This window comes from Homo sapiens, chromosome 10, assembly GCF_000001405.40.
Source record: "Homo sapiens chromosome 10, GRCh38.p14 Primary Assembly".
In the NCBI taxonomy this organism is placed as follows: domain Eukaryota; kingdom Metazoa; phylum Chordata; class Mammalia; order Primates; family Hominidae; genus Homo; species Homo sapiens.
The window spans coordinates 95,514,409-95,540,875 of NC_000010.11; the positions used below are offsets into that span (position 1 = coordinate 95,514,409).

Below are 26,467 nucleotides of genomic sequence, written 5' to 3' on the forward strand. Positions count from 1 at the left end.
TTCCCCCTGGAAGTACTATTTGATGGCACTGATACTCAAAGCCCTATACCTAAAACATCTTTGCATCTAAGAGATACTGTGGAGATCAAGCCAATTCTAGACCCTTATTGCCATGGTTTTGATATCTGTCAAACCAGGTATCAAACAGTGGTCACTCCACCCCAGAAACATCACGGTGAACCAAGTTATCCATAATCATCGATAACTGTATGCCCAACACCATGCAGACCCCACAACCTTCATGATGCTTACAATATAATTTCAGAGATAAAATCAGCCCAATGGAAGCTAATCAGACAGCCATACAAGGCAAAAGAAAAACCAGAAGACCCATCATCATTCATAGAGAAGTTGTGAGCAGGAACCAAGTATGGGCTACAAAAGTCACTTCGACTTCAGATTCATACTGGGCCTTGAGGCAGAAGTAGAGTGTATATGAGGCAGAATATCGATGGAAGACACTGCAGGTAAAAAGACCTCTTTACAGGCCATAATGGAAACTCTGAAGCTGGCTAACCAAGAAGGCAACCATTAAGCAAGCCCCACTCCCCTCCCACACTACAGCTTCATCTCTCAAATATGGGGCATAGGCTTTCAGGCACAGACTCTAAAGAGGACAGATGTCCAAGCAGGGGCTCGTGGGCACTGGGTAGCTGGAGTAAAGTGGTATCCACTTGTCAGCAGACTGAAAAGCAGGTCCAATTCTCTTGGATTATCTCCCTAAGTATGTTTCTCAGACCCCTGCATCAGAATTTCTGCGATCTCTCCAGACCTGAGAAATTAAAACCTTTGAGGGGATAGCCAGGGAATCTGCATCTTTAGCAAGCCACTCAATATGACAGGTAAAACCCACTGACCTTGGTGGAGGGTGGGTGTGGATGTCAATTCAGGGCTATCGTGTGGCCAGACAGAGCTGAGTTGGCATTGGCGACCCTAGGTCAGGGACTGTGATGTCTGGAGTAGGGTGGAGGCAGCTACTCTGCTCCCTTGGGTCCCTCAGGACTTAATATGGCCACTGGCAGTCACCATTTCTCGGGGTGACTTTAATGATCCCACTCAATATGATCCCAAAAATACAAAAATTGCTGCTAGCCTGCTCCAGCCTGCCCTATTCTGAAATGGGGGGTAATTTTTTAAAAAGTTGTCTATCTCAACTAAGAAAGAGATTTAAGCAGAAATCACACACGGGCTGGGGGGCAGGAAGGAGTGTGGCTGGAGCAGGAAGTAGGAAATCTCTTAGGATGAGGGACAGGATATGAGACAGGATCAGCCACCCAGCCCCAGAATTAATGCGGCTGCTCCCTTTACTGCACCCTTGGAAAATCATTAGAAAGAAGATGATTTCTTTACAGAAGCCCAAGGGTGCTTGAGCTTGGATGGAGCTGAGTTAGCCTCAAGAATGAAGGAGTTCACCAGTGTGGATAGGTCTATCCAAATTTGGCCTAACGCACCCTATGAGAGAGGTACCTTCTGCACCATAAACCATAGCCCCGAGAAATGGTGACTGCCAGCGGCCATATTAAGTCCTCAGGGACCCAAGAGAGCAGAGTAGCTGCCTCCACCCTACTCCAGACATCACAGTCCCTGACCTAGGGTCGCCAATGCCAACTCAGCTCTGTCTGGCCACACGATAGCCCTGAATTGACATCCACACCCACCCCCCACCAAGGTCAGTGGGTTTTACCTGTCACTGTCTAGGTCTGAGGCACCAGCTGGGCCTGGTGGCTCCAGATCTGGGTAGTGTAGTTCTTCAGGTGTGGTCACCAGCCCAGCAGCATTGCCTGGGAACCTGTTAGAAATAAAAATCCTCTGGCCCCACCCTAGAGCTTCTGAATCAGAAATTCTGGGGGAGGGACCCAGCAATCTGTGTCTTAACAAGCCTTCCAGGTCATTCTGATCCAGCTCAAGTTTAAGAACCAGTGTGTTGTGCTATTAATAATAACATGAACCACGGTGGTAGATCAACAAAAGTAGCATCATATACACAGGCCTACAAAACACTTTCAAGTGTATTATCTTAATACATTTGATAATATATCAAATGTTGATACCCTCTTCTAATCCTAAGGCTCTGTAGTTCATTTGAATCTCACAGCAGTGCTGAAGTAGATAAGCTGCATTATCCCATTTTACAGAGGAGATTGAGGCTCAGATAGATGAAGTAACTAGCATAGATTACCCCTACCCAGAGCCCACTCATTAAAAAAGCGCACAAAAATTAGAGACTTAACTCTAAATAATTAAAAGTTACCAGCCCACACCCATTTCTCTTCCCCACGCTCCACAGGTATACTGGCCACAACAGGGGTGAAATTGACTTTCTTTTCATCTGGTCCATTGTCACTCACCTCAAGTGACTATTTCCAAGACCATCTTCCATTAATTCTGGATTTTCAATGCCTCTCTGACACAGAATTAAGACAACAGCCCTCAACCGACAAACAGGCCATGCGCCAAAAGTTCATTTTCAAGTTGGAGGGTTGGAACTCAGGTTGCATTTTCCCATGGACGTGACATGGAGATAGTTGTTGGATCCCCAGGTCAAGCCACAAAGCTGTCTCTGAGAGGGAGAGGCAGAGGACACAAGAGTGTTTGGCAATGGGCCATAGGGTTAAAATCCCAGCTTTCTAATCAGTAACCAACAGGAGACAAAAGCCCAAGTTACTTAGCCTTTCTCCGAGCCTCAGTTTCTTCGCCTGGGAATCCTAATACTGACCTTCCAGGGTTGAGAGGATTCAATGAAAATGCACACAGTTGATATTCAACAAGTGGCTGCATTGTTGTTGAACTCCTAAAGTAGAGGCCATATTCTATTTTTGCCCTGAAACCTATGCAATTGAAAAGAAATAAAATACATCTGAAATTATAACAAGACTGACTGCAAGAGGATTAACTGCCTCCTAAAGGACCAAGGAAAAGAAGGAAGGGTGTTGGGCTCAGGGGATGGCACAAGAGTCGGGTCCGGCCCTCACCCACTCCTCACACCTTTGGCCTTCCTTCAGCTCACTTGCCGCTTCTTTGGGAACCTTCCTTGGACTTCCAGCTTAGGTCAAATCTCTCTAGTACCTGCTTCAGTAGCCCCATGTACTTGCTCTTCATAGCCTTACACTGATTATAATGTTACCCTCATTTGCTTAATGCCTGTTTTCCCCACAACCTCACAAAGCCCATGAAGTCAGGGCTCAGGTCTGTTTCTGCTCATCAATGTATCTTCCCCTGGTACTTTGTCCTGTGCCTGGAACACAGTAGGTACTCAAATATTTGTAGAATGAATCACACCAGAGCAGCTGGGCAGGGAAGAGGACGTTGTGCACAGCTGACTGCACATATGTGCAGATAACAAATTGGCGGTCTGTGACTCAGGGCTACCCGGAAAAGCACACAACTCTTTTTCTGCCCCAATAAAATCAATCTGCTGCTGCCATATCACTCAGCCAAAAAGGCTGATTATTAAACGCACAAGTTATTAAACCCAAAGGCATCCTCTTCCAATGGGTGCACATGCCCCAGGCTGCTCAAAGGGCATGTGCTGAATGAAGCAAAATGGCACAGGAATCCAGGCAGGTCTGAGATGTGCTGCAGTTCTCCCTACCTCAGTCTCAAAGTGGAGGGATGCCAGCCTCACCACAGCTGGCAGCCTCACTATACCTTGGAGCTCTACAGCAAGGTATGGAAAATAATGCTGCCAGCTGCAATGTACTGAGTGTCTACATGTACCAAGCAATAGTCCTGGGTGATCCTCAAAACCTAATGAGGTAGTTATGGTCCCCTTTCTACAGATGAAGAAACTGAGACTCAGGGAGACCAGGAACATACTCATGATCACATAGTGAATAAGTAGCAGAGCCAGAACTATTAATAGAACCCAAATCAGATCGCAAAGTGTGTGCTCTTAGCCATATTCAGCTATCCATCACCATATTAGGTATAAGTTTCTCTAAGAGTCTGTGAAGTATGTACAGACCTTGGAGACTCAATGCAACATGATATAAAACAGAAAAGAGATACAATTCTAGTGTGGAATCTTCTACTACTATGTGACCCAGAGTAAGTCATTTCACCTCCCTGGGCCCCAGGGAGGCTTCCTCCCCACTAATGTTAAAGAATGAACTAGATGGCCATTAAGAGAAGAGATAGGATGCTGTTGAGCACACAAAAACACGTGCCAGTTAGAACCTATCATGAAACCACATCTGCCTGGCCTTTACCTAGGACCCAGCCACACTGCCTCTCAGCAATCTCTCACCCAAACCGGAGGTTAGCCGGAAACTTTGAGCTTTCTGGTAGGGAGGGAAGGAATGACAGAGGACACTTACTTTTCTACTAGGCCCCCTGAAACTGGCTTGGAATGAATCAAAGATAAGTAATAAGGGAAAGGAGACTGTTTACCATACATTTAAATATCTAAACCTCCCTCCCTCCTGCAGAGAACTGAAAAAATACCATATGCTGCAAAAGAAGCAGGTGTCAGTCTCCAAGTCTTCCATGGGCTCACACCCATCAGCAGTCTTCTGTGCAGCCCCACCTCCCTCTGGGATGTGTTCAACATACACCCAAGACCAACTGCAGGGACTGCCTTCAGAGGCCAAGGCCATCCGTCCAAGTAACAGATCTTCCCTCACTTCAACCCCTGCACTGCTGTACAGAGTGATCTGGAATTTACAGTCTCTTCTACAAAGCCTTACAAGGTCAAAAATGCTCAAGTTGTGTGATTCCTAGGATGAAAAGGCTGTGAAACAGAATAGGCTAAATGGCCGATACAAACGACACATCAGAAAGCCAAAAAACCCAACAGCCAAATGCAATCAGCAACGGGCAGAGCTGGAGCCAAGGCGCCTGGTGCTGGCCAGGCTTCAGCAGCACACAGGCCTGTGTTGCCACCAGCACCTGTGGATGTCACCACCTCCTGCTGGTCCCCTCCAGCACACAGACCAGTGCTGCCACCAGCACCTGTGAATGTTACCACCTCCTGCTTGTCCCCACTAAGAGTGAGCACAGACACCCCAGAACCAAAATAGGAGTCACAAAAGAACTGACATCCATTTTTATATGACTCCTGAGCTCTATAATCTGCAAAACCCATACTGACTTTTACATGTATGGCAGGGTATGGAGGAAATGGCCAAAGATACTTTGTAAAATGTTCGTCAAAATAAAACCTGAATTTTAAGCAAGAGCAGAAGGGGAGGAGTGGAGGAAGGAAGGAAAATCCCTCTTTTTTACCATAATCCTAGATGCACTAAATCCAGCAATGTATATGAAATATTTCAGGAGCAGGAAAGTGGGGAGAAATGAGGGAAAGAAAGAGGGGGAGAAGGAAAAATACAGAAAGGGGAACAGTGTAAAGAGAAAGCCCCATGCTAAGTCATCCCAACCTGAAGCTGCCTCATAGCCTTGGTCCTGCTCTCCTCTCCCCCTACTTACCAAGGCCTTTCAAAAGGGAGTTCTGCAATTCCACTCTAACCATCAAACACCAAAAACACAACAAAACCTGACAAAATAATTGTACTAAGTCAGCACCCAATCTCCTGCAAAATCAGAAAAGCAAACTGACAAATATTAAGTGGACCACCATAAATACCAGACACAGAATTTGAAGACATTTCCAGCTTCTTATAAAAAGCTTCTAGGCTGGGCACGGTGGCTCACACCTGTAATCCCAGCATTTTGCAAGGCCGAGGCAGGTTGATCCCCTGAGGTCAGGAGTTCGAGACCAGCCTGACCAAAATGGAGAAACCCCATCTCTACATACAAAATTAGCCAGGCATGGTGGTGCATGCCTGTAATCCCAGCTACTCGGGAGGCTGAGGCAGGAAAATCGCTTGAACCCGGGAGGTGGAGGTTGCAGTGAGCCCGGATCACACCATTGCACTCCAGCCTGGGCAACAAGAACGAAACTCCATCTCAAAAAAAAAAAAAAAAAAAAAAAAAAAGCTTCTAGGCCAGGCATGGTGGCTCAGGCCTATAATCCCAGCACTTTGGGAGGCTGAGGTGGGCGGATTGCCTGAGGTCAGGAGTTTGAGACCAGCCTGGCTAACATGGTGAAACCCCATCCCTACTAAAAATACAAAAATTAGCCGGGCATGGTGGCGCACGCCTGTAGTCCCAGCTACTAGCTACTTGGGAGGCAGAGGCAGGAGAATCGCTTGAACCGGAAGGCAGAGGTTGCAGTAAGCCGAGATCTCGCCACTGCACTCCAGCCTGGGCGACAGAGCAAGACTCCATCTCCAAAAGAAAAGCTTATAAATGCCTAAATATACTTCAGCAAACCCCTTCAAATTAAATAGTAAAATGCAGCTTTATGAAATTAAAATTTTAAGGTATTTAAAAATAAAGGAAGCGTTATGCATTCATACTCAAAGGGCACAACATGCTCCCACAATCTGGCCATAAATGCCTGGGGGCCTAAGAGAATGCAGAAAGACTGAGAATCTAATCTATTAGATCTAGCTATGGTTTTCCAAATTAGGGGAAAGGGTAGTTGGCAGTTAAACTGAAACCAACAGACTTTTACTCTCTGTGAAATTTGCTAAAATGGACATTTCTACAAAAAGATGTTTAAAGTGTTTTTTTATATATTAACTTCAGTACTCTCAATACCATCTGTCCTACTGCTCAAATATATTTTAAAAGCAACACACACACAAAGAATGGTTCCAGTTCTATCCATGCCCTGAATTCAAAGTAATTACCACAGATGGATTCTGAACCAGAAAATAGACAGACGAGTGTTTATTAAATACCTACTATATGCCAGACCTCAGTGCTAATAAGGTACCCCCTTTGCCTGACCCTTTGTCTTCCCAGTCGCCAATGGCCATGATAGGTTAAGAATGAAGAGGGACTGAATGCCATACCACACCTTCAGATACAGCTGATATTTACCAGCAGGCAGAGGTGAACGGCACACAGAGAGCTTGGAGCTCAGTGCAACCGAGGAGCATGTCAGCCCTAAGTCATCCTTTTTCATCTTAAGAGGCTGACAAAAGTAACTCTTTCATCTTCCTTTCTCTCTTAGCATTTTTTTTTTAATGGAGTCTTGCTCTGTCACCCAGGCTGGAGTGCAGTGGTGCGATCTTGGCTCACTGCAACCTCTGCCTCCAGGGTTCAAGGGATTCTCCTGCCTCAGCCTCCCGAGTAGCTGGGATGACAGGCGTGAGCCACCATGCTTGGCATTCTCTCTTAACTTATAAGCCTATCTTCCCACCCTTCAGGCCTTCCTGATTGAGGACAGAGCTTCCTCCCATAATTTTTTTTTCTTCTGTGAGACAGGGTCTCACTCTCTGTCACCCAGGTTGGAGTGCAGTGGCGTGATCACAGCTCACTGCAGCTCAACCTCTGGGGCTCAAGCCATCCTCCTGCCTCAGCCTCCTGAGTAGCTGGGACTACAGGCACCCGCCACCATGCCCAGCTAATTTTTGTATGTTTTGCAGAGACAGGGTTTCAATATGCATTGCCCAGGCTGGTCCTGAATTGCTGAGCTCAAGTGATCCCCTTGCCTCGGCCTCCCGAAGTGCTAGGATTACAGGTGTAAGCCACCACACCCGGACTTCCTTCTCTAATTTTATCTTGTTTCTGGTCACCAATAAGACTGAATCTGGAACTTAGTAGAATCTCAGAGTGGTAGAAAAGTGAAAATGGGGGTGTCTGGAAAAAGGATGAAGACACATCACTAACTTCAAGAACACAAGTTTTCCAGGCCTCATAAAGCTCAGAGCCAGGTGCCAGTGTGGTTCTATAGGTTAAAGAGAGACAGGAAGGGTGCAGAAGTTCTGACAGGGTCCCAAGGCCCAACCGAAAGGTGCCTCCTTTTCTCCCTTTCCTTCTCCTTGTTGCTGATTATTCCCCTTTTGTTCTTCTATTCAACCCATACTTATTTCTTGAGTCCCTACTTAACATATGCATGTTTCCCAGTTTAACACTGCCTTCATCAACATAATGCCGTCACACACATAGCACCTGACATTTTATGAACACAACCCTTCAGCAATCTTATAGAAAGCCTTTTGTGAAAAATAATCCCTGAAGAGAAATGTCACTGAACATTATTTTGGGTTGCTGGACCACAAATCCCACTAGTGCCCACCAACTTCATGTCAATATTCAGAACCATGAGGCAGATCATTCATATGGGTGCAAAATACTGATAATGAATGCTTGGCAAGAGTTCTTTCTGCATGGCCACTTAGGGGACACACAAGAGCCGATTTCCAAGGCTGGCACTAACAATCGAACAGTAATAATGAGTAAAAGCAGCCATGCTGTATTGGGTACCTGTTTATAGGTCAGGCATTAAGCTGGTGCTTACATACATTATCTGGTTCAATCAATCCTTACAACTGAGGCCAATTTTATCATCCCAATTTATTGGAGAAGAAAAGCTGAGCTCCAAGACTTTGCCCACAGTCACACAGCAAGTTAAGAAGCAGCACTAAAATCTGGACCCTAGGCAATCCAACAACTACACTTCTCCTTTCCCCAGAGGTGGACAGGAGTGAGACAGGACTTCAGAATGTCTGGAGACCCTCCTCAGTTCTGGGTGCCCTCTCTTCTGCCTGTGGATAAGGCAGGTGGGAACGAATGCTGGGGATGGGAAATCTGTGTGTCAGAAATAAACGTGTAAACATTTTCTCTATGCCCTAAATAATGTCACTTACCTCTCAAACCATTACCTCATGCTTTTGCACTTGAACAGTTTAAAAGCAAGTAATTCTTTGCTAAGTAAAATACTTCAGCAAGGAAAAGCAAGGTCTCACCTATTCAGACTGGGTTTCAAAGAAGCAATCTGCACTACTGTATTCGAGTTATATTCCAAGATTTGTCTAAAACTTTCAGGTTCCACGCCCAAGACTAGACTACTCCCAGGGCTAGGCTATCAGAGAATTATTAGATTCTCTACTTCATCCTCAGCTACCACTAATGAAAAAGACAACGGTGCATGGAACACGGCTCTAAGCTCCCTGACCCTGCAGCAGACTGCAGCCAAGCTCTGCAGCCCTGAGTTCCTGAGGACAGGGACATGCATGTGTTGCATTAAGAAAAATAATTATAAGAGGCAATAGACTCCCATTTGGAAACCCAGAGAAAATAAAACCACATTCATCAACATTCCAACCACAGTATTATTTTAGGACAGTTCCCTGCAGTTTTTAAAAAATACATTTAGCACATGGTTGTAACCGTAGCCCATATGCAATTCTGTTTTATTTCAACTACTTCTACTTGATTATCAAGGGTCACCTGTTCTATTGTGCCTTTCCCAGACATCCACTTGTTCAGGTGAAACAAACCCTTCTCCTCTATGCCTTCACCATCCCTTAAACACACATGAATTGTGCCCCTCTAAAAGGTTAAGTAGCTTACACATCAGGCTCCCCCTATAAGCCATACCCCTTCCAGAGCGATATGATTGTGAGCTTTGATTATTTCTCATGTATTTGGCAAAAGCAACACCAAAATGTTAGCAGGGATAACACTGGAGCAGCAAGACCATGGCTGATTTCCACTTTTTGATGTGGCTCCAACTTTTCTTTTGACAACATATAATTTCTTTCGTGCATATTTAACTGATTATAAAAGTTTCTTAGAACTGCTATTGATCAACTTCAAAATCACACAAAGTTCGGGGTCTAAGAGTAGGAGACATGGGCCAATGTCTCAATTTTAAAGCAGGAAAGTGGGTGATCCTGATATCTACAAATAAATAAGCCTGGACGACTACAGACCAATAATGGTTCCCGGCAAAATTATAGAACAAATGGTTTGGGAACATTTCGAAAAAAATGTGAATGTTGGGAAAAGGCAATGTGCGTCCACAATGACAAAGGCATGCCAAAACCAATCGATTTTTCTCTTGTGGTTACCAAGTTGGTAGATCAGGTGAGATGCCAAAGATATCATGCACCTAGATTTCAGCAAAGCATCTAGAAAAACCTCCTATGATCCACTTGTAGATAAGACAGTGAAACAGAGTGAAGCTGCTTGCACCACTGTCTATGTAGCCAGGTGGTTACTACCCCACTGACCGTACATCACTCCCTCCTTTGGGCCGCCATTGTGCTCTGTGCATATGCTCTCAGAGCACTTATTAAACTTGATTGAGTTACTTGTCTTTCTACTAGACCAGGTGTCAGCAAACACACCCACAGGCCTAACCCAGCCCGTCACCTGTTTTTGCAGTTTTATAGGAACAGCCACGCCACTTGTCTCCATCTTGTCTATGGCTACTTTGGTGCCACAATGGCAGAGTTGAATAGTTACAACAGAGAATGTATGGCCCGCAAAGCTGACAATATTTACCATCTAGGCCTTTAGAGAAAAAGTGTGCCAATCATGATCTCTTTTCAAGCTGATGATCTCTTTCCAGGCAGGACAGTTGTCTTACTCCTTTATACCTTCGGCACTGGCATAGTGCCTGGCACATAATGGGCACATAATAAACATCTGGTGAGTAAATGTATACATTGGCATCACTAATGACTTGATGACAAGCTAGAGAAGGGTTACTGGTGGAATGACGCAGGGTTCAATTCTTAGGCACACACTGTCCACTGTCTTTTTAACAATGACTTGACTAGAGACAGACATGAAGGGCAGGCTTATCAAACCTTCAGATGGCACAAAACTGGGAAGAAGAGCTAATGCTATAGATGCCAGAATCAAGATTCAAATGACCTTAACAGCCCAGCATTCTGGGCGAAAAACAAAGCCGATTGTGCAAAAGTACGGGCTGGGGGCAGGTCTAAACTTCCTGAAGTCCACGAGACCTGCCCTGGCAACCATTCATGGGAAACAGAGAAGGGTGCCATCCTGACCACAAGGTTCATCAGAGCCCACAGTGCCCAGAGTAATACAATCTTCAAAGGCATTAAAAGTAGGACAGCATCTGGTTCACAGAAAAAATGGTAATACTCACACTGTACCCTGCTGTGGTCAGGCCACAAGTGGAGGATTCAGCTCAGGGCACCACACTTCTTTTAATGTATTGTTTTTAATAGATTCCAGTCACATGGTTTAAAAGACACCCAATGGTTTATAGTGAAAAGTCCCTATTCCACCCCCAAGTCAAAAGCAACCAACATTACCCATTGCTTTTGTACCCTTCCAGGTGTAGTATATGCACATACAAGCAAATGTCCTGTCCTGTTTTTGCACAAATGATAGCATACCATACAGCTTAACATTATTTTTTCACATAAAAAATATATGCTACAGAGTCCCATGTCAGTACTTAAAAAGCTGCCTCATTTCTTTCTGTGGCTGCACAGTCTTTGATTGCATGAAGACACTATACTGATGGACATTTAGGTTTTCCAGTCTTTCGCTACCACAAACAATGCTGTCAGAAATGGACATACATCTTTTTTCACATATGCAGGTATATCTGTAGGACAGATTCCACAAAGTGGAATTATAGGATAAAGTGGGTATCTTTGTAATTTTGATAGATATTGTCTAATTGGATACCACCTTTTAAAGAGAGAAACGGACAAAATGGAGTTTTCTAAAAAGGGGGGCTGGAATTTATGTCCCGGATGGAAGAACTAAAGAGGCTTAATATGGAGCAAAGAGGGCTGCAGGGAAAGATGAGCACCATCACCCTCAGATACCCACAGCTACCATCAATAAGTTCAGTCCTCCTTCACCAACCCTGTGCCTGACACATGCTTGCAGGCTTGCATACATCATCTCATCGACTGTCACAACAACCCTGAGAGATGGGCATTTTTATCCTTACTACGCAGATAAGGAAACTCAGGCCAGAGTCCTCTTGCCAAAGGCCACAGAGCCAGGAAGGGGCAGAGCTCAGACTCAAACCAACCCAGGTAACTCCAAGGCTGCCGCACCTTATCTTAATCCCCTGTCCCTCCGGGCTGGGCCCTGTGGCCACAGCAGCATTCTCAGACCTGGCGCACCTGCAGATCACCTGGGCAGCCTCTGCACAGGCCCCACCACAGATCCTGATCTAACTTTTGAGGGGAGTTGGGGGGAACAGATATAGTTTTGAAAGCGCCCCCCTCTCTCAGGCGCATCCAATGTGCAGGCAAGGCTGAGAATTATTGCTCTAACCCACAGCAGTAGTTCTCCAACTAGGAAAGGCATCGAATTCACCTGGATTACTTGTAAAAAAGATTTTGGGGCCCCCACCCTGTGAGTTTCTGAATCAGCAGGTCTGGGGTGGGGCTGGAGAATTTGCACAAGTTTCCAGGTGATACTGATGCTGGTGGTCCAAGAACCATGCTTTAAGAACTACTCTACAGAAGCAAGAGCTACTACTACTCCTCTTGGTAATACATAGCAATTAACATTTTTCAAGGTACATTATTCCAGCGAGCCTTCACTGTTCTGGAAGGTCCAATGGGATAATGTCCTCTGTTAAATGAAGTGAAAACTGATACTCAAGTGTCTTAGCCAAGTTTATAAGTGTTATATAATCTTCACTTCTTCTTTTCTTTCTTTCTGTAAAATTCTTTGGCTTATACTTAGGTTTTCTGACATATAGTTCAATCTTCTTTCCACTGTACTAACACCAGGCTCTAAATTCCAAGAGGGCAAAAACCTTATCTATCTTGTTTACTCGTATTCCTCCTGAACCTAAAACAGTCGGTGCTCAATACATACGTTTGAATGACGAAATGAATCATGGGGTGTAAAAACTAGTGTGACATGGGTTCTAAATGAGAAAACTGTATTACAGGATGATTTCAGCTCATATGAAAGAATTTTAACAATTAGCCGGACACAGGGGCTCATGCCTGTAATCCCAGCACTCTGGGATGCCAAGGTGGGCAGATCATTTGAGCTCAGGAGTTCGAGACCAGCCTGGCTAACATGGGGAAACCTCGTCCTTACTAAAAAAATACAAAAATTAGCCAGGCATGGTGGCAGGTGCCTGTAATACCAGCTACTCGGGAGGCTGAGGCAGGAGAATCACTTGAACCCAGGAAGCGGAGGTTGCAGTGAGCCGAGATCACGCCACTGCACCCCAGCCTGAGCAACGGGGTGAGACTCTGTCTCAAAAATGATTAATTAATTAAGAATTTTAACAATTAAAATAATTCAAAAAATAAAATGAACTGACTCAATAAGTAGTGAGCTCCCTGTCCTTGGAAAGATGCAAGCAGAGGCCAAATAGCCATGTAACAGAAATGTCACAAAGCAACTATACACCCCAAGACAATGTATAGTTGATCTCCATCACCTCTAATATTTTTCACAAAGCTAAATTTAACTCCTGTGTGATCCAGTAGAGAGGCGGCACTCTATGAATCCTTCTTGACTACTGGTCAGCAAGCCTGCCAATAGCTTCACTACATAAGTTTACACCAATTGTTGCACTTCTCAGCCTCAATTTCCCTGGACACAAAAGGAAGTGGTTTGTCAACCTCTTGGGATTGTCTAACAAAGTGACTGGCAAATAATAAACAACTAACAGATGTACCCAAGAACTTAAAATGCATACGACGTCTGCCTTTTCCCCTCTCTGCCATTCTGCATTGCAACTAATCCTGCATCTAATTGATATCTCCATGAAAATTAAACTTGAGGAAGAACCAAGGGCAAATCCAAAACCACACTGAGCCACCCTTTGAATTCCATACCTTTGCCAGTTTAATTATCAGTCTATTATTTTTTAAAAGTCCATTCTTCTAACAGCCACTTTCTGGGCACCCACTGTGGGCAGAACACTATGCAAGACCCTTGGAGAATACAGAGAAGGCTCATGCCCTTCTCTGCCTTCTTGGGTGTGTACCTGCAACTACCACATTGTTTAAAGATAGCTCTGAATTTCCCCCACCTGGGTAATGTCGAGGGCTTCATTAAAATTTACTAGTGCAGAGCTGTGTTTACAGATTGATTTCATCAAGGAAAACCAAAACACAGAATAATAGAATGAGGAGTGAACCAAGACCCAGATGAAAATTTTTAATTTTTAAGGTCTAGGATACCAGTTGTCAAGGTTTACCTCTTCGTAACGGGTCAGAACACAGTGCTGTGCCTGGCCCAGCCCTTGTCCAAAATCCATTTCACTCACACCTGAATGATATAAAGGGGTCATCCTGAGAATGGTTCTTAGGCAACAGCTTCTCAACATCACCAACACTGTGAAGTCTTAGAGGCACTAGATTTCCAAGGGGAAAGGATAAGAAACTGGGGAAGACTCCCAGGCAGCCATATAAAGCCTAAGACTCTTTATTTACTTACTTTGTATATTAAAAACTGTTTCTGGCTGGGCGCAGTGGCTCACGCCTCTAATCCCAGCACTTTGGGAGGCCGAGGTGAGTGGATCACCTGAGGTCAGGAGTTCCAGACCAGCCTGGACAACATGGTGAAACCCCATTTCTACTAAAAATACAAAAATTAGCTGGGCATGGTGGCACATGCCTGTAATCCCAGCTATTCAGGAGGCTGAGGCAGGAGAATCGCTTGAACCCGGGAGGTGGAGGTTGCAGTGAGCCAAGATCGCACCACTGCACTCCAGCCTGGACGACAGAGCAAGACTCAGTCTCAAAAAAAAAAAAAAAAAAAAAAAAAAAAAACTGTTTCCACAGTACCAACAAATGAGAACCCACACAGCAGCTATTAAAACACTGAGAACTCCCTGGAGGACCCTACAAAGACGGTCAGTTTGGAACCAAAGCGGAGATTCCATTTGTCAGAGAAGTTGAAACCTTTGGCTCCCATGTTAGACAATGCAAATGACCTCTTCAGAATGTAGGAGGCCAAGAGAGAATGACTCAGAAAAGGGAAGCCAGTCATATACTCCAAAGCCAGAGATGAAAGGCTGAGATGAGTGTTTGCTGTCATGATTCAGCTCTTAAACAGATTCTGACAGCCACATTCAGGTGCCTGTTAACAAGGCTTTTCTTCCTTAAGGAATATCAAAAACAGCCTGCAGAAACAGTTCATAAGCATACACTGTCAAGATTCTGGACACTTAAACTACCAAGCAGTTTGCCGAGGGCATCACTGCAACGATAAAACATTCAAAAAGCTAACATTTTATTGTCCAGTTCCTGTAGACATACAGCTGAGGAGATTAGGGAGGAAAAGATTGCAGGTTGAAATCTTGTAGCCCAGAGGTCCCAAAACTCTAAGATGTTTAAGAATCACCTGGAGTGCTTGATAAATGCAGAACCCCAGGCCCAGCCCCTAAAAAGGTTAACTGTATGAACGCAAAAAAGGCACTGCCCCATAAGGACTCCATATTTCAGTAAGCACCCCATGCCTTTCAAAGGTAGGTGGTCCCTAGACAACTCTTGAGGAAACGCTGACCTGGTCCAATGGGCTATTTTTGTAAGTAAGAAAAATGAAGCCCAAAGTAGTGCAGTGACTTGCCCAAGTCCAACTTCCTAAGTCCAATAATGGCTCCACAAGGAAGAAAGCTAGAAATAAGAATAGATGCCTCACATTATAACCCAAATTGCTGAAGAGCATGGTCAGCCCCTAGGGCAGCAGACAGCAAGCTAGGTCCTTAAACAGAGCCTCTTCCCAATGAAAGAACCTGCAAAAGAGGTCCCCTGGAAGGAAGACTGATAAGCGAATAGCAATAACTGGATTCAGCAGGGCCCCTGTGTTTCTTGCCACAGAACTCTGTCTACACCCCAAACACTGTCACCTGCACTGCCACTTCCTATTCACCTGACTGTGAACACCTGCAGGGCAGGGACTGGGTCCCATCCATCTCTGCATCACCACTGTCACATAGAAAGTCTTCATGAACTCTTTTATTCCAAGAATGAACGCTGTTACCACCCTCTGCATAGAATGCCTTCCAAGACGCTGGTTCACCTGCTGCATTTCCCTTCATCCCAGCTCCAGCTCAGGTGTCACCTCCTCCCACCAGACACAACCAGGTGTTCCTTCCTACCTCTCCCAGAGGACCCTGTACTTACCTGTTAGTACTTATCACACAGCTTTGTAATCATCTTGTTTACCTATGAGACAACTCCTTGAGAGCAATGATTTTGTCTTTGAAACCTCAGCCCCTAGCTCAGCTTGCCATGCAGAAGTTGCTCAACAAATGTTTAGAAGGTGTTCAATAAACGGAGGGAGGCAGGAAGAATGAAAGGGAGAAACTAATCTAAAATATCTCACTACAGACTCAAAACCCTACAAAGTTGTAGATGTGCTCTGCTGGGGTAAAGAAATACTTTAGTATTTCCTCTGCTCAAATCTGAAAAGTCAAGTCACCTTCTCTCCAGAGCCACCATGATCAGAGAGTTGTATTGGCAGCACTTGGAAAGGTCCTCCCCTGTGAATACCCCAACACACCTGTGGTCCACCCTCAACACATTCCTTCAACTCCCTCCTCCCAGCTTAGCCAGAGCTTCCCGAGTCTCAGACCTTCCCACAGGTCTGTACTGAGAACCGAGCACTTATCTCTGCCCACCCTGTACATGTTACCTGCCCTGGGGCATCTGTGGAGGACATCGGTCCCCATACAATACTCCCTGGTGCACAGGCCAGGCAAAGCACCAAGGGAGGTTCTCCAAACATCCACAGCTAGAGAGGGGCTTTTCAGGCAAAGACGGTTTCTCTTTGAGAAGTCAAAGCCAGACTTTTGCCCTCAGCCTGCTCTGCCATGCTCTGCCACATCCCCGCACTCTAGGCAACTACCAGCTCGCAGCCAGGTAGAGCAGCACTAAACTTCCAACTCAGAGGTGCCAACTCTGTGGTTTACACCTGCTACTCCTTCACCTTTGCAAGGCCTTGTGCAGCTGGCCAGGCTCCCTCTGCCCACCAAACTGCGAGCCAGAGCCCCATTTCACATGTGCAGAAACTGCCCTAAAAGGCTAAGCGACTTGCCGGAGGTCACACAGCTCAAAAGCAGCAGAACTGGGGCTCACAGCAAGGTGTGCAGACTTTCCACTCATTGCTGCCACAGTGGCCACATGTATCAGTCGTCTCCTGGACCCAGTACGGTTTTCTCACCGTCTTAACTGGGGCCTTCCATTTTCAAAGCCAACAGCCCTTGAAACCTTTTTGAGAGATTTCCCTATTTGCATTTTAGCTGCTATATAACAAACCAGATTTCCTGATTCTTTCTTGTGTTTATTATGGTCAGGATATTTTTTCCTAATGCTCTGAGAATTATTCCCATAGGAAACATTCAGCTCATTTGGAACTCTTTTGACACTAAAACCTCTTTCCCTGAGAACCTGCCTTCAGGGGCAAAACAAGGCTGGTGGCTGCTGATAAGCCACAGCGTGGCATGGAGAAGCAGCACGGACTTTCAACGAGGCAGCCCCCGTCCCGGGTCCACCCCCGAAGACGAGCTGTGCAATCCACCACAGTCAACTTCACCTTCCCAGGTCTCAGTTTCCCCACCACACAATATAAATAATAAAACCTAACTTAAGGGATTGTTGTTAGGATTTAAGATAACATGCACAGGGGCCAACATGTGCATTGTGTGACCTTAAATCCTAACAACGACCTCTTAAGTTACGTTTTATTATTTTAACTCTCTCCCCGAATAGGAACTGATATTATTTCAATTACTTTCAGGCAAAGTCAACTTGGAGGGGAAAACACAGTATATGTATTTTTCTCATGCCCTGAGATTTCGTCCCATAAGAAATACTCAGGAAAGCCTCCTGCCACAAATAAATGCAGTCATGGAGGAGAAATCAGAAATGAAGGGGGCAGCTTGGACACCTTAGGAAGGCAAAAGGGGATGGTTACTCTCTTGGGGCTAAAAAGGCCTCTCAAATGCCCCAGGTTCCCTCAGTCCCAACCCCCACAACCTACAAGGCCTGTTATCTAAGACAAGCCACTAACCCTCACTGAGCCTCACTTCCTCATCTGCACGACACAGATAACCTCACCAACAACCCCCAGCTGTCCAGGATGGTGGAAGGAAGGGTTTCTCCAAGGGTGGCCTGCACACCCCCTGCACCTCAGGCCCTGCTGGGAACCTTCCCGGCCTCTGGTTCCTGCTCCTTCCTTCCTGACAGAGCCTCCACTCTGTTCAGGTACCCACCCCACCTCCAGATGGCTCAGGAAATGGGATCCCCTTTCAGTCAACAGTGATTGACTCAGGGAAGACATGTAACCCAACTCCAGCCAAGAGGGCATGATGAGAAGAGAGCTGGTGGTGCCTCCAAAAGCTTCCTGACTCCTGAGAAGAAGCACCAGAATCCATTTATACCCTTCTTTCCAAGAATGTTGTGTCTGAGATGCTTGGAAATGCTGTGGCTGTCTCATTCCCAGCTTGCAAATGAAGATAATGCCAAGGATGACAGAGATGAGAAGAAGCTGGGGTCTTGTTGACATCACCAAGCCACTGAAACAATCAATCCCAAACCCGCCCAGTGTCTGGATTAAGAATGGCCCCATTGCACAACTCCAGGGGGCATGATTCACATTGCAGTCCACATGAAACCACTCCTGTTTGAAAGACAATGAATTTCCCTATTGTCATCCTGTGCAGGCTAGACAACTCCATCTTGAATGTTAATCCATCACATTGACTTCTGATTAACCACTGTTCATGGAAGGCCTCTAAGATTTCCAGTGTATCGGTTCTTCTTTGTCTAAGAGACTGTACATAAATCCTGCCCTTAGGTGAAAACAACCTTGATATTATCATGCTTCAAATGTCCTACACATCCCTTCGTAAGTCACTCCCTCCCTATGGTACCGTATATAAACCCTGGGTCTTGGGGGTAATAGCGCAGGGATCCACCATCTTGTCTCACCACCATCCGAGACACAGACATGGTTTCTGTTCATAAGTCCCTATTGAATGTTTCTTTCTGAGAAACTAGATAAATCAGCCTCTTTCTTCAGCCTGTCAGCATCCTTGAACTTTGGGGGTAGGTTCGCATAGGCCTGCCCACTGCAAAACATAGCCAATCTGACTTAGGGTTTCTGACTTGCAGCTGAAAAAATCTGGGTATGACCTGCATAACCTAGGGAATATATTAAAAATCACGAGTTTTGGGTCCACCAGAGAGTAATATGCATTTTTAACAAGCACCCCAGGGGATTCTTACGCTCCCCAAGTTTAAGAACCAGTGATTTAATGGAATGTAGAGATGTCCAGTGCAATGCCAGGCACACAGACAACACTATGCCACAGTCCAAAATGGACTTACCAGAGAAACACCATCCCACTTTTTCACTTGTGAAAAACTGCAGAAAGAACAGATGAGGACAACCAAAAGGGGAGTGATGAGCTGTCAAACAAATAGCACCTCTTCCCCTAAAAGGCTGCTTCTGCGTGGTTTTAGGAAACCGTCTGCTAACATTCAGCCAAAATTCTCTCCCAGGACAACCCACTGCTGCTGGTTGCCTCCACAGCTGCACAGCTGGAGTCTACCTGGACCTCTGTTCTTGTGGACCTCAGCACACAGCACAGCAAACAGGCTCACGGCCACATGACTGGCCGTCCCGCTCTCCCGGTGGCCATTTTAACTTTATTAAAAGGTCATTTTCCTGGCCTGGCTATCTCTTATCCTGGACAGATCACCCCCTGTGGCACCAGGAAATGGCAAAGGAAGCTGGATTTATTAGAAGAAGATAAAAGAAGGAGCTGGCTGAGCCACCAGGCTGTCTAGAAATCATTGTTTTTGAAATGTCAAATATCCAGAAATCCTAAGGGGTCACAGCTATGCCCCTAATTCCAAGAGTAAACCAAGACCAGAGAGGGGGTGGGACTTGGGGCCCCCAATCATGCAGCTTTTTCCTTTTTTTTTTTTTTTTTTTGACATGGAGTCTAGCTCTGTCACCCAGGCTGGAGTGCAGTGGCGTGATCTCGGCTCACCGCAACCTCCACCTCCCGGGTTCAATCGACTCTCCTGCCTCAGCCTCCCGAGTCGCTGGGATTACCGGTGCCTGCCACCATGCCCAGCTAATTTTTGTGTTTTTAGCAGAGACAGGGTTTCACTGTGCTGGCCAAGCCGGTCTCAAATGCCTGACCTCATGATCCGCCCTCCTCGGCCTCCCAAAGTCCTGGGATTACAAGCACGAGCCACCGCGCCCGGCCCATGCAGCTCCTTCAACACTAGTCAGAGTCATAGGGGTTTCCTACCATGGCAATGCTAAGGGATGATCAGGGGGCAGAGACTGTGTGGTGTGGATAAAAGGAGACTGGAAGGAGGCATCAGCACCAATTTAGAGAAGCCCTTTCAGGACATGAGTTGTGTGAATAAACCGTGAAGGCCAAGGGCAGCAAAGAACATCTCACCTGCTCTTTTTGATGTTAAGATCCTTCGGGTAGGCCTATTTAATTCATTTTGGCTTTTTTTCCCCATTCAATAAGTATTTGAGTGACTATTAAATGAAGAAGGCTACACTAGGGGTTGCAGTGACAAGGGAGGGGGCCAGAGCTGAAGAAAGCACGAAGCATCTCAGTCTAACAGTGAGGATAAGGCAAACACAGAGGAGAAAGTGAAAAGCAAGTACCATTAGGGGAAGTGTCCTCTTCAGAAGACCTCCCTACACTCCCAAGTTCAGTGATCAGGCACCCTCCACTCTGTGCTTCCCCAACACCCTCGGCATATAACTATCATTGCAGCTACCACACTGCACCATATCTGTCTGTCTCCCGTAGCAAGAGACTCAACATCTCGTTCATCCTCACATATCTAGCACAAGTCCTGGTACAAGGAGGGACTCAATAAGCACTAGTTGATGAAATGGATAAATGAATGGATGGATGATGGGTGGAGAGATGGATGGATGAGTAGATGGATACAGATGCCCAGGAATTCTGGCCAGCAAATCAGGGAAAGCTTCATGAGGGCTAAGGCATCTGAGCTAGAACTTGAAGGATGTGAACAAGTGGAGATGAAGAAGAGACCACTTCATCCAAAGTGCCTAGTACCATGTTAGGGAGGCATAAAGTTGGTGCTTCACAAATGCATCCTGGATGGGTTTACTACTGAACTGGGTTTTCCTAAGTGAAGGAATCTGCCTTCACTTCCTATAGCCTACCATCTCTCTCTAGATAAAGAGAAGCAGGCCCTAAACAGCAATTAAACTGATAAACCAAGGGAAAGGCAACTAACTATCAGTCTCTACAAACATTACTCTCCAAAGACAGTTTAGCAGAATGAAGACACTCCATTTGTACTGATAAGAGTTTTCTAGGATCCATTGTTAAGAGGCAAAAGCAATATATATATATTATACACATTCCCCATGTATGTATCTGCATATAGAAATCTTGGAAGGATACGCAAGAAACTGATAAAAGTAACTACCTATCTGTTGGATAATATATAATTCATCACCTAAACTGGGACACTTTTGAAAATGAAAGAGGGTGTGATTGATCATTCACTGGAACAAAGAAGGTAAACCGGAACTGCTCTGGACAAACTAGTTCATTCCAGCTAATGGAGGTGGGGTGAGGGAGGGAGTATAGGGGACCCAGCAGGGGTAAGAATGAAATTTTTCAATGTATACATTTTTATAGTGCCTTAATTTCCAAACCATGTGTATGTATCAAACTATTTTTACATTTAATAATCTTTTAATGGAAAGGAAAAGGCAAAAGAATTTAGCCTTCCAACTTGCTTAGACAAGGAAGCTCATTTGCGGGCACCACTGAATAGCCACCCTGAAGAGAACCCCTAGATATGAAATAAAATCACTGCTCGTCGCACAGCCCTTTGGCAGCACACAAGAAAACAGCCTCAAGAAGAGAGAGCCGTGCATGGCCTAAAAAGGCTGGGACTCTGCACGGCCGGCTGAGACGGGGAACATCAGGGGAATATAAACATTGTAAGACAGACGTAAAGCAGTTCAGGTTTTACACAATCATGGCAACAAAGTGAGATTGATTCAGGGCTGAATTAAGCTCTTTATATTGTTTCTACTTAAAAAGGAAATGTATTGACTACAGTCCTCCTCACAGATTTATCTTTCCTGACATCAAGCACATTCATAACCTATTTTGAATTCCAAGGAACAATGCCGGGGTTTAGGAAAGTGAATACCAGTGAGTTCCACCAGGCCATTTTAGAGGCTGGGCAGAAGCTTCTCTTAACTTCTAATTGCTCAGGAAGTAGGCACAATGTTTTTTTTGGTTTTTTGGGGGTTTTTTTTAATCAGTCATAACCTCAAGTTAGAAAAATGCCTGTCCGGGATCCCTGAACTTTAGAATGGGTCTATGCTGGAAGAGCCACTTTGGAGCCTTTTTAGAGACCATGTGTGGGTGTCACTTGGATTTTTAATCTCTTTTGTAACCATCTCCTCCTTTCAGAAGTCACTACAGCTCCTCCAGCTAAGGCCTGAAGTGCCTAGACCAGGAGACATCTCATCTCCTGCCCCTAGACTCCAGCAGGCACTGTGGACACTGACCTTCCTAAGACCAGCTTGACCATGGCCCACTGTGAAACCTTCAGGGGTGCCATATGGCCTTGAGGATTGCAAGACCATGTAATTTATCATCCAAGCAGGGACACTTAAGAGGAAAAGGGGGCACTAGTAATAGTCACATTGGGACGAAGCACCCTGGGAAACTGGACCACAAGGTCATCCTACTATATAGAATAAATCCAATCCCTCTAACGGCTTGAATTCAAGATTCTCCACCATCTGGGTCCGACTTACTTCACAGTCTTTTTGCGTTCTGACTGTGCCACATGGTCTAATCACAGTGGGCCTGCAGGTGCCCAGCATGCCTTGGGCTTCACTGTCTCTGTCCATTTGCTCACGGCAGTCCCTCCTCCTGCCTCCACCCATCCCCATCCCCACCAGTCTGTAACGCCCCCTTATCCATCTAGGTAGGTCTAAATCTCACCCTGCATTCAAAACAGAATTTAACTAGTATCATTCATTACTGCATTCATCCAACAAATATGTACTGCCTGCTTGTTATGGCACATGGTGAAAAAGACTGAAAAAATTCCATCTCCCTGAAACTTTAATTCAAGTGTTGGGGGAGGTGCATGCACACTCACATAACCGTGATAATTGGTCCTAAGGAAGACACACAGTGACATGCTGGAGAAGCCACCCTGTTATGGTTTTGAACAGACACAACCACCACCCCACAAGGCTGTAGTAAGCTCCTTGAGGGCTAGGCCAAAGAGGTCCATTTCCCACCCCTGCTAAACCTATCACACGCCCCTGGGTAGAGCGGGTACTCAACAAACATTTGCTAGGTGAAGAATTAATATTAAAGAAGCTTACTTACTTAATCTGAAGAGAGTTTGCTAACAACTAGTTCTCAATTCTCCATTAATCTGTATGAGATCAAAGGAGAACCTGAATTTCCACTGACCTGAGAGGAACAACACCCCAGGTCCCACAACTATGACTCTCATTCCACCCTGATGCTGGAAGGGAAGTGATTCAGTGCTGTGCTGCTTCACCTGCGGTCACACAGCTAGTGAGTGGCTGGGCCACTGGAGAGGTCAGAAGGTGATCCAGGAAAGACTCAGAATTTAATGACTGGATAAAAAGCCAAAAGAGGCCGGTGTGGTGGCTCACACCTGTAATCCCAGCATTCTGCAAGGCCAAGGTGGACGGATCACTTGAACTCAGGAGTTCGAGACCAGCCTTGGCAACATGGCGAAACCCCATCTCTCCAAAAAAAATTAGCCAAGCATGGTGGCTCACACCTGCAGTCCAGTGACTTGGGAGGCTGAAGTAGGAGGATCACTTGAGCCCAGGAGGTTGAGGCTGCAGTGAGCCATGATCGCACCACTACACTGTAGCCTGGGGGACAGAGTGAGACTTTGTCTCCAAAAAAAAAAAAAGGTGCTTGTGAAGGGACACTGTTAGTTGGAGGGATCAGAGAGCTTCATGAAAGAGGCCTTGGGGTGAGTCCCAGGTGATAGAAAGGAAGTGGCCGGCAAGGTGAAGGCAGGGCCATAATTATGTGTCTGTGGCCACAGCAGATGCTTGACAAGGCAGTGCTAGCACTCAATCAGTGTTACAGAGGGAGCGGCTGCGCTGGGGCAGAAATTAGGCCTGGGGAGGTCACCATCTGAGATATGTCCACAGAGCCACCTTTCCATGTCTGACCTGGAAGAGGGAGCGGAAAGCAACAGCAGTCAGGGTAACGCAGTGGCCCCTTTCCTCAGCACTGCCCTCAGGAGACGGGCTGCTCTGACTGACCAGTTCAGCATGGGAGGCTCCAGTAAAAGCCAAGGGTCCTGGGGCTCCCCACATTTGTGCGCTATTCTCCAAGTGGATAGGGGCTGACTCGAGTTAGATTAAACAGTAACTGGTAACAGAGGAATTTGGCAAGCAGCATACTTGTATCTGAGTGTATCTGCAACATGTAACCCTTCCTCGGAGGTTTCTGATGCTGAGTAGTCAGAGCAATAACTTAATTTTTTTAAAAAATAGCACAATTACAGCATTTTGGGAAGCCAAGCCAGGAGGATCACTTGAGCCCAGGAGGTTGAGGCTGCAATGAGCTGTGATTGTGCCACTGAACTCCAGCCTGGGTGACAAAGCAAGACCCTGTCTCACAAAAAAATAAAAATAAATTTTACAAAAGCACAATTAGCTGCATCTGAATTCTTATTTCAGTTACATATGAAGTGAGCAAATCAATTCTCAGCAGCCTGGAGTGGACCCCAACCACCTCTCACCTGCTGCAACTAAGATGCAGCCCTAGGCCACCATGGCTGGTCACACCTTGCTAGAATTTTTCTTTCCAGCCTCTACCCACCACTAGCCCCACCTTGGCCCATCAAGTCTCAGTCAGTGACAAACCCAAACTATAAATATTCAGTAAGGTACAATTTAAGTCTCTAGAGCTAAAGCAACAACTCAAGTTCCTCAGATGGGACCTTCCACTAGCACTGTGCTCTGAGTGGTAACGATACAACCAGGATCCCAAAGGCCAGAGTTTCTCAACCTCAGCACTGCTGACATTCTGCATGGGGTAACTCTGTTACGAGGAGCTATCTTGTCCACTCTAAGATGTTCGGAAGCATGCTTGGCCTCTACCTATTATATGCCAGTAAGATTTGTGACAACCAAAAATGACTCTAGACACTGCCAAATGTCTCCTAGGGGTAAAATCCACATCCCCATGAGAACCATTGCCAAAGGATGACCTCCCTAAGTTTGCTATTTCATATATCCTCATATGCTCAGGCACCTGGGAGCACCTAGTCCAATAAAATGCCTTGGGAGTTAAAGGGAGAGTTTAGGATCTGGTGAGTTGGAGTCCTGGCTCTACATTGTACTAATTCCATGACTTTAAATAGGTCACTTAGACTCTTGGAGCCTCAGTTCCTTCATCTGCAAAATGGGAACAATTAAACAGCACCTACCTCATGGGGAAGCGATGGCAGTTACATAAAATGACATGTAAAGACTGCCTGGCACAGTGGGTGTTCAATAAACGTTAGTGATTATTTACAGGCTTGGAAAATTCCTTTTATCCAAGCCTGGAGTTTAGTCTTCTATTTCTGTGGCTTCTGATCTTCCCCCTCCTTCCTATGCTCTTTCCACCTGTTAAATGCCTTTAGTCTTAACCTTTGGTCTGAAAGAATCCTTCCTGCTAGTTCAAAGGTATCTGAGGTTAAAGCAAAGGAAAGAAACACACATACACACAGACCCTTTCATATTCAACCCTGGTCAGACCAACCCTCCAGACAAAGGTTCCCATTGTTGTCTAAAAACATACTTTTACACAGGGAGCCTAGGGGGCCTTTAAACAGCCACAAGCGCCAAAGTCTCCAGACTCCTCTAGTTCTCATTCCCATTCTGCCCCTAACCTTGGCACATTCTCTTCTCCTTTGTGGGCCTCAGTTTCCTCATCTATAAATGAGGGTTTCAGACTCAGAGGAGCTCTAACGGCCTCCCATCACTGGCCTCTAAGGTCTTGCACAGTACTGCAAAGCTGCAGCAGGGGTGGCAGCCGCAGCCGCGTTTTAGGTAAGTGTTTAACTTGGGAATAAAGTCATGTAGACAAATCATTATCTGTTGTTCCTATATTCCCAGAGAGCCAGCAGAATATAGTGGCATGGCTATTTGTTGCCATTGGAGTCAGAAATCTGAATAAAATGAAATCCCACCCTACCACTGAGACCTTGGGCAAAGTGGTTCACCCCTCTAATCCTACTGCCTTATCTGTAACATGGGCTAATAAGAGAGGCAGAAATGGTGTAAAGATAACAAGACAAAGATCATGAAAGCACCTGACAAACAGAGCTGGTAGGCATACTAGGTATTCAAAAACATATGCCTTCCTTTCTGGAATCTCTTCTGTGAATTTTGTACTATAACTCCATGTCATTCTGGAAAGTTCTTTCTTCTCTCCTTTCTCACATACTATTCATCCTTCATGGCTCTGTCCAAGTCCTCCTCTGCCAGGAAGCCCTCCCTGTAGACTCTGTCTCTAAAGACCGAAGGCCTTAAGTTTCCCAAAGACTAGCTTTGTGGAGGTTAGGTAGGAGGTCACTAGCCATCAGTTCCCTACCTTGAGAATTTCCTTTCTGCAAATTCAGGAAGATTAACCCCTTCCCTGCTGTGCCCCAGAATAGTG

The 26,467-nt window shown here is 45.7% G+C and overlaps 1 protein-coding gene across 76 annotated transcripts in view, besides 2 other annotated features; it reads right to left on the reverse strand.

The window, feature by feature from the left end:
- The window catches only part of SORBS1 (sorbin and SH3 domain containing 1), a 249,599-nt gene that overhangs the window by 202,636 nt on the left and 20,496 nt on the right, over positions 1-26,467 (reverse strand). The gene's annotated exons all lie outside the window — the stretch shown is intronic.
- Positions 16,966-17,713: an enhancer, noted in NCBI's record as "H3K4me1 hESC enhancer chr10:97291131-97291878 (GRCh37/hg19 assembly coordinates)". NCBI's record gives its function as "activates a minimal SCP1, AML or CMV promoter by ChIP-STARR-seq in primed H9 embryonic stem cells {active_cell/tissue: H9 hESC(primed)}" and the evidence as "EXISTENCE:reporter gene assay evidence [ECO:0000049][PMID:30033119]".
- Positions 25,320-25,821: an enhancer, noted in NCBI's record as "NANOG hESC enhancer chr10:97299485-97299986 (GRCh37/hg19 assembly coordinates)". NCBI's record gives its function as "activates a minimal SCP1, AML or CMV promoter by ChIP-STARR-seq in naive H9 embryonic stem cells {active_cell/tissue: H9 hESC(naive)}" and the evidence as "EXISTENCE:reporter gene assay evidence [ECO:0000049][PMID:30033119]".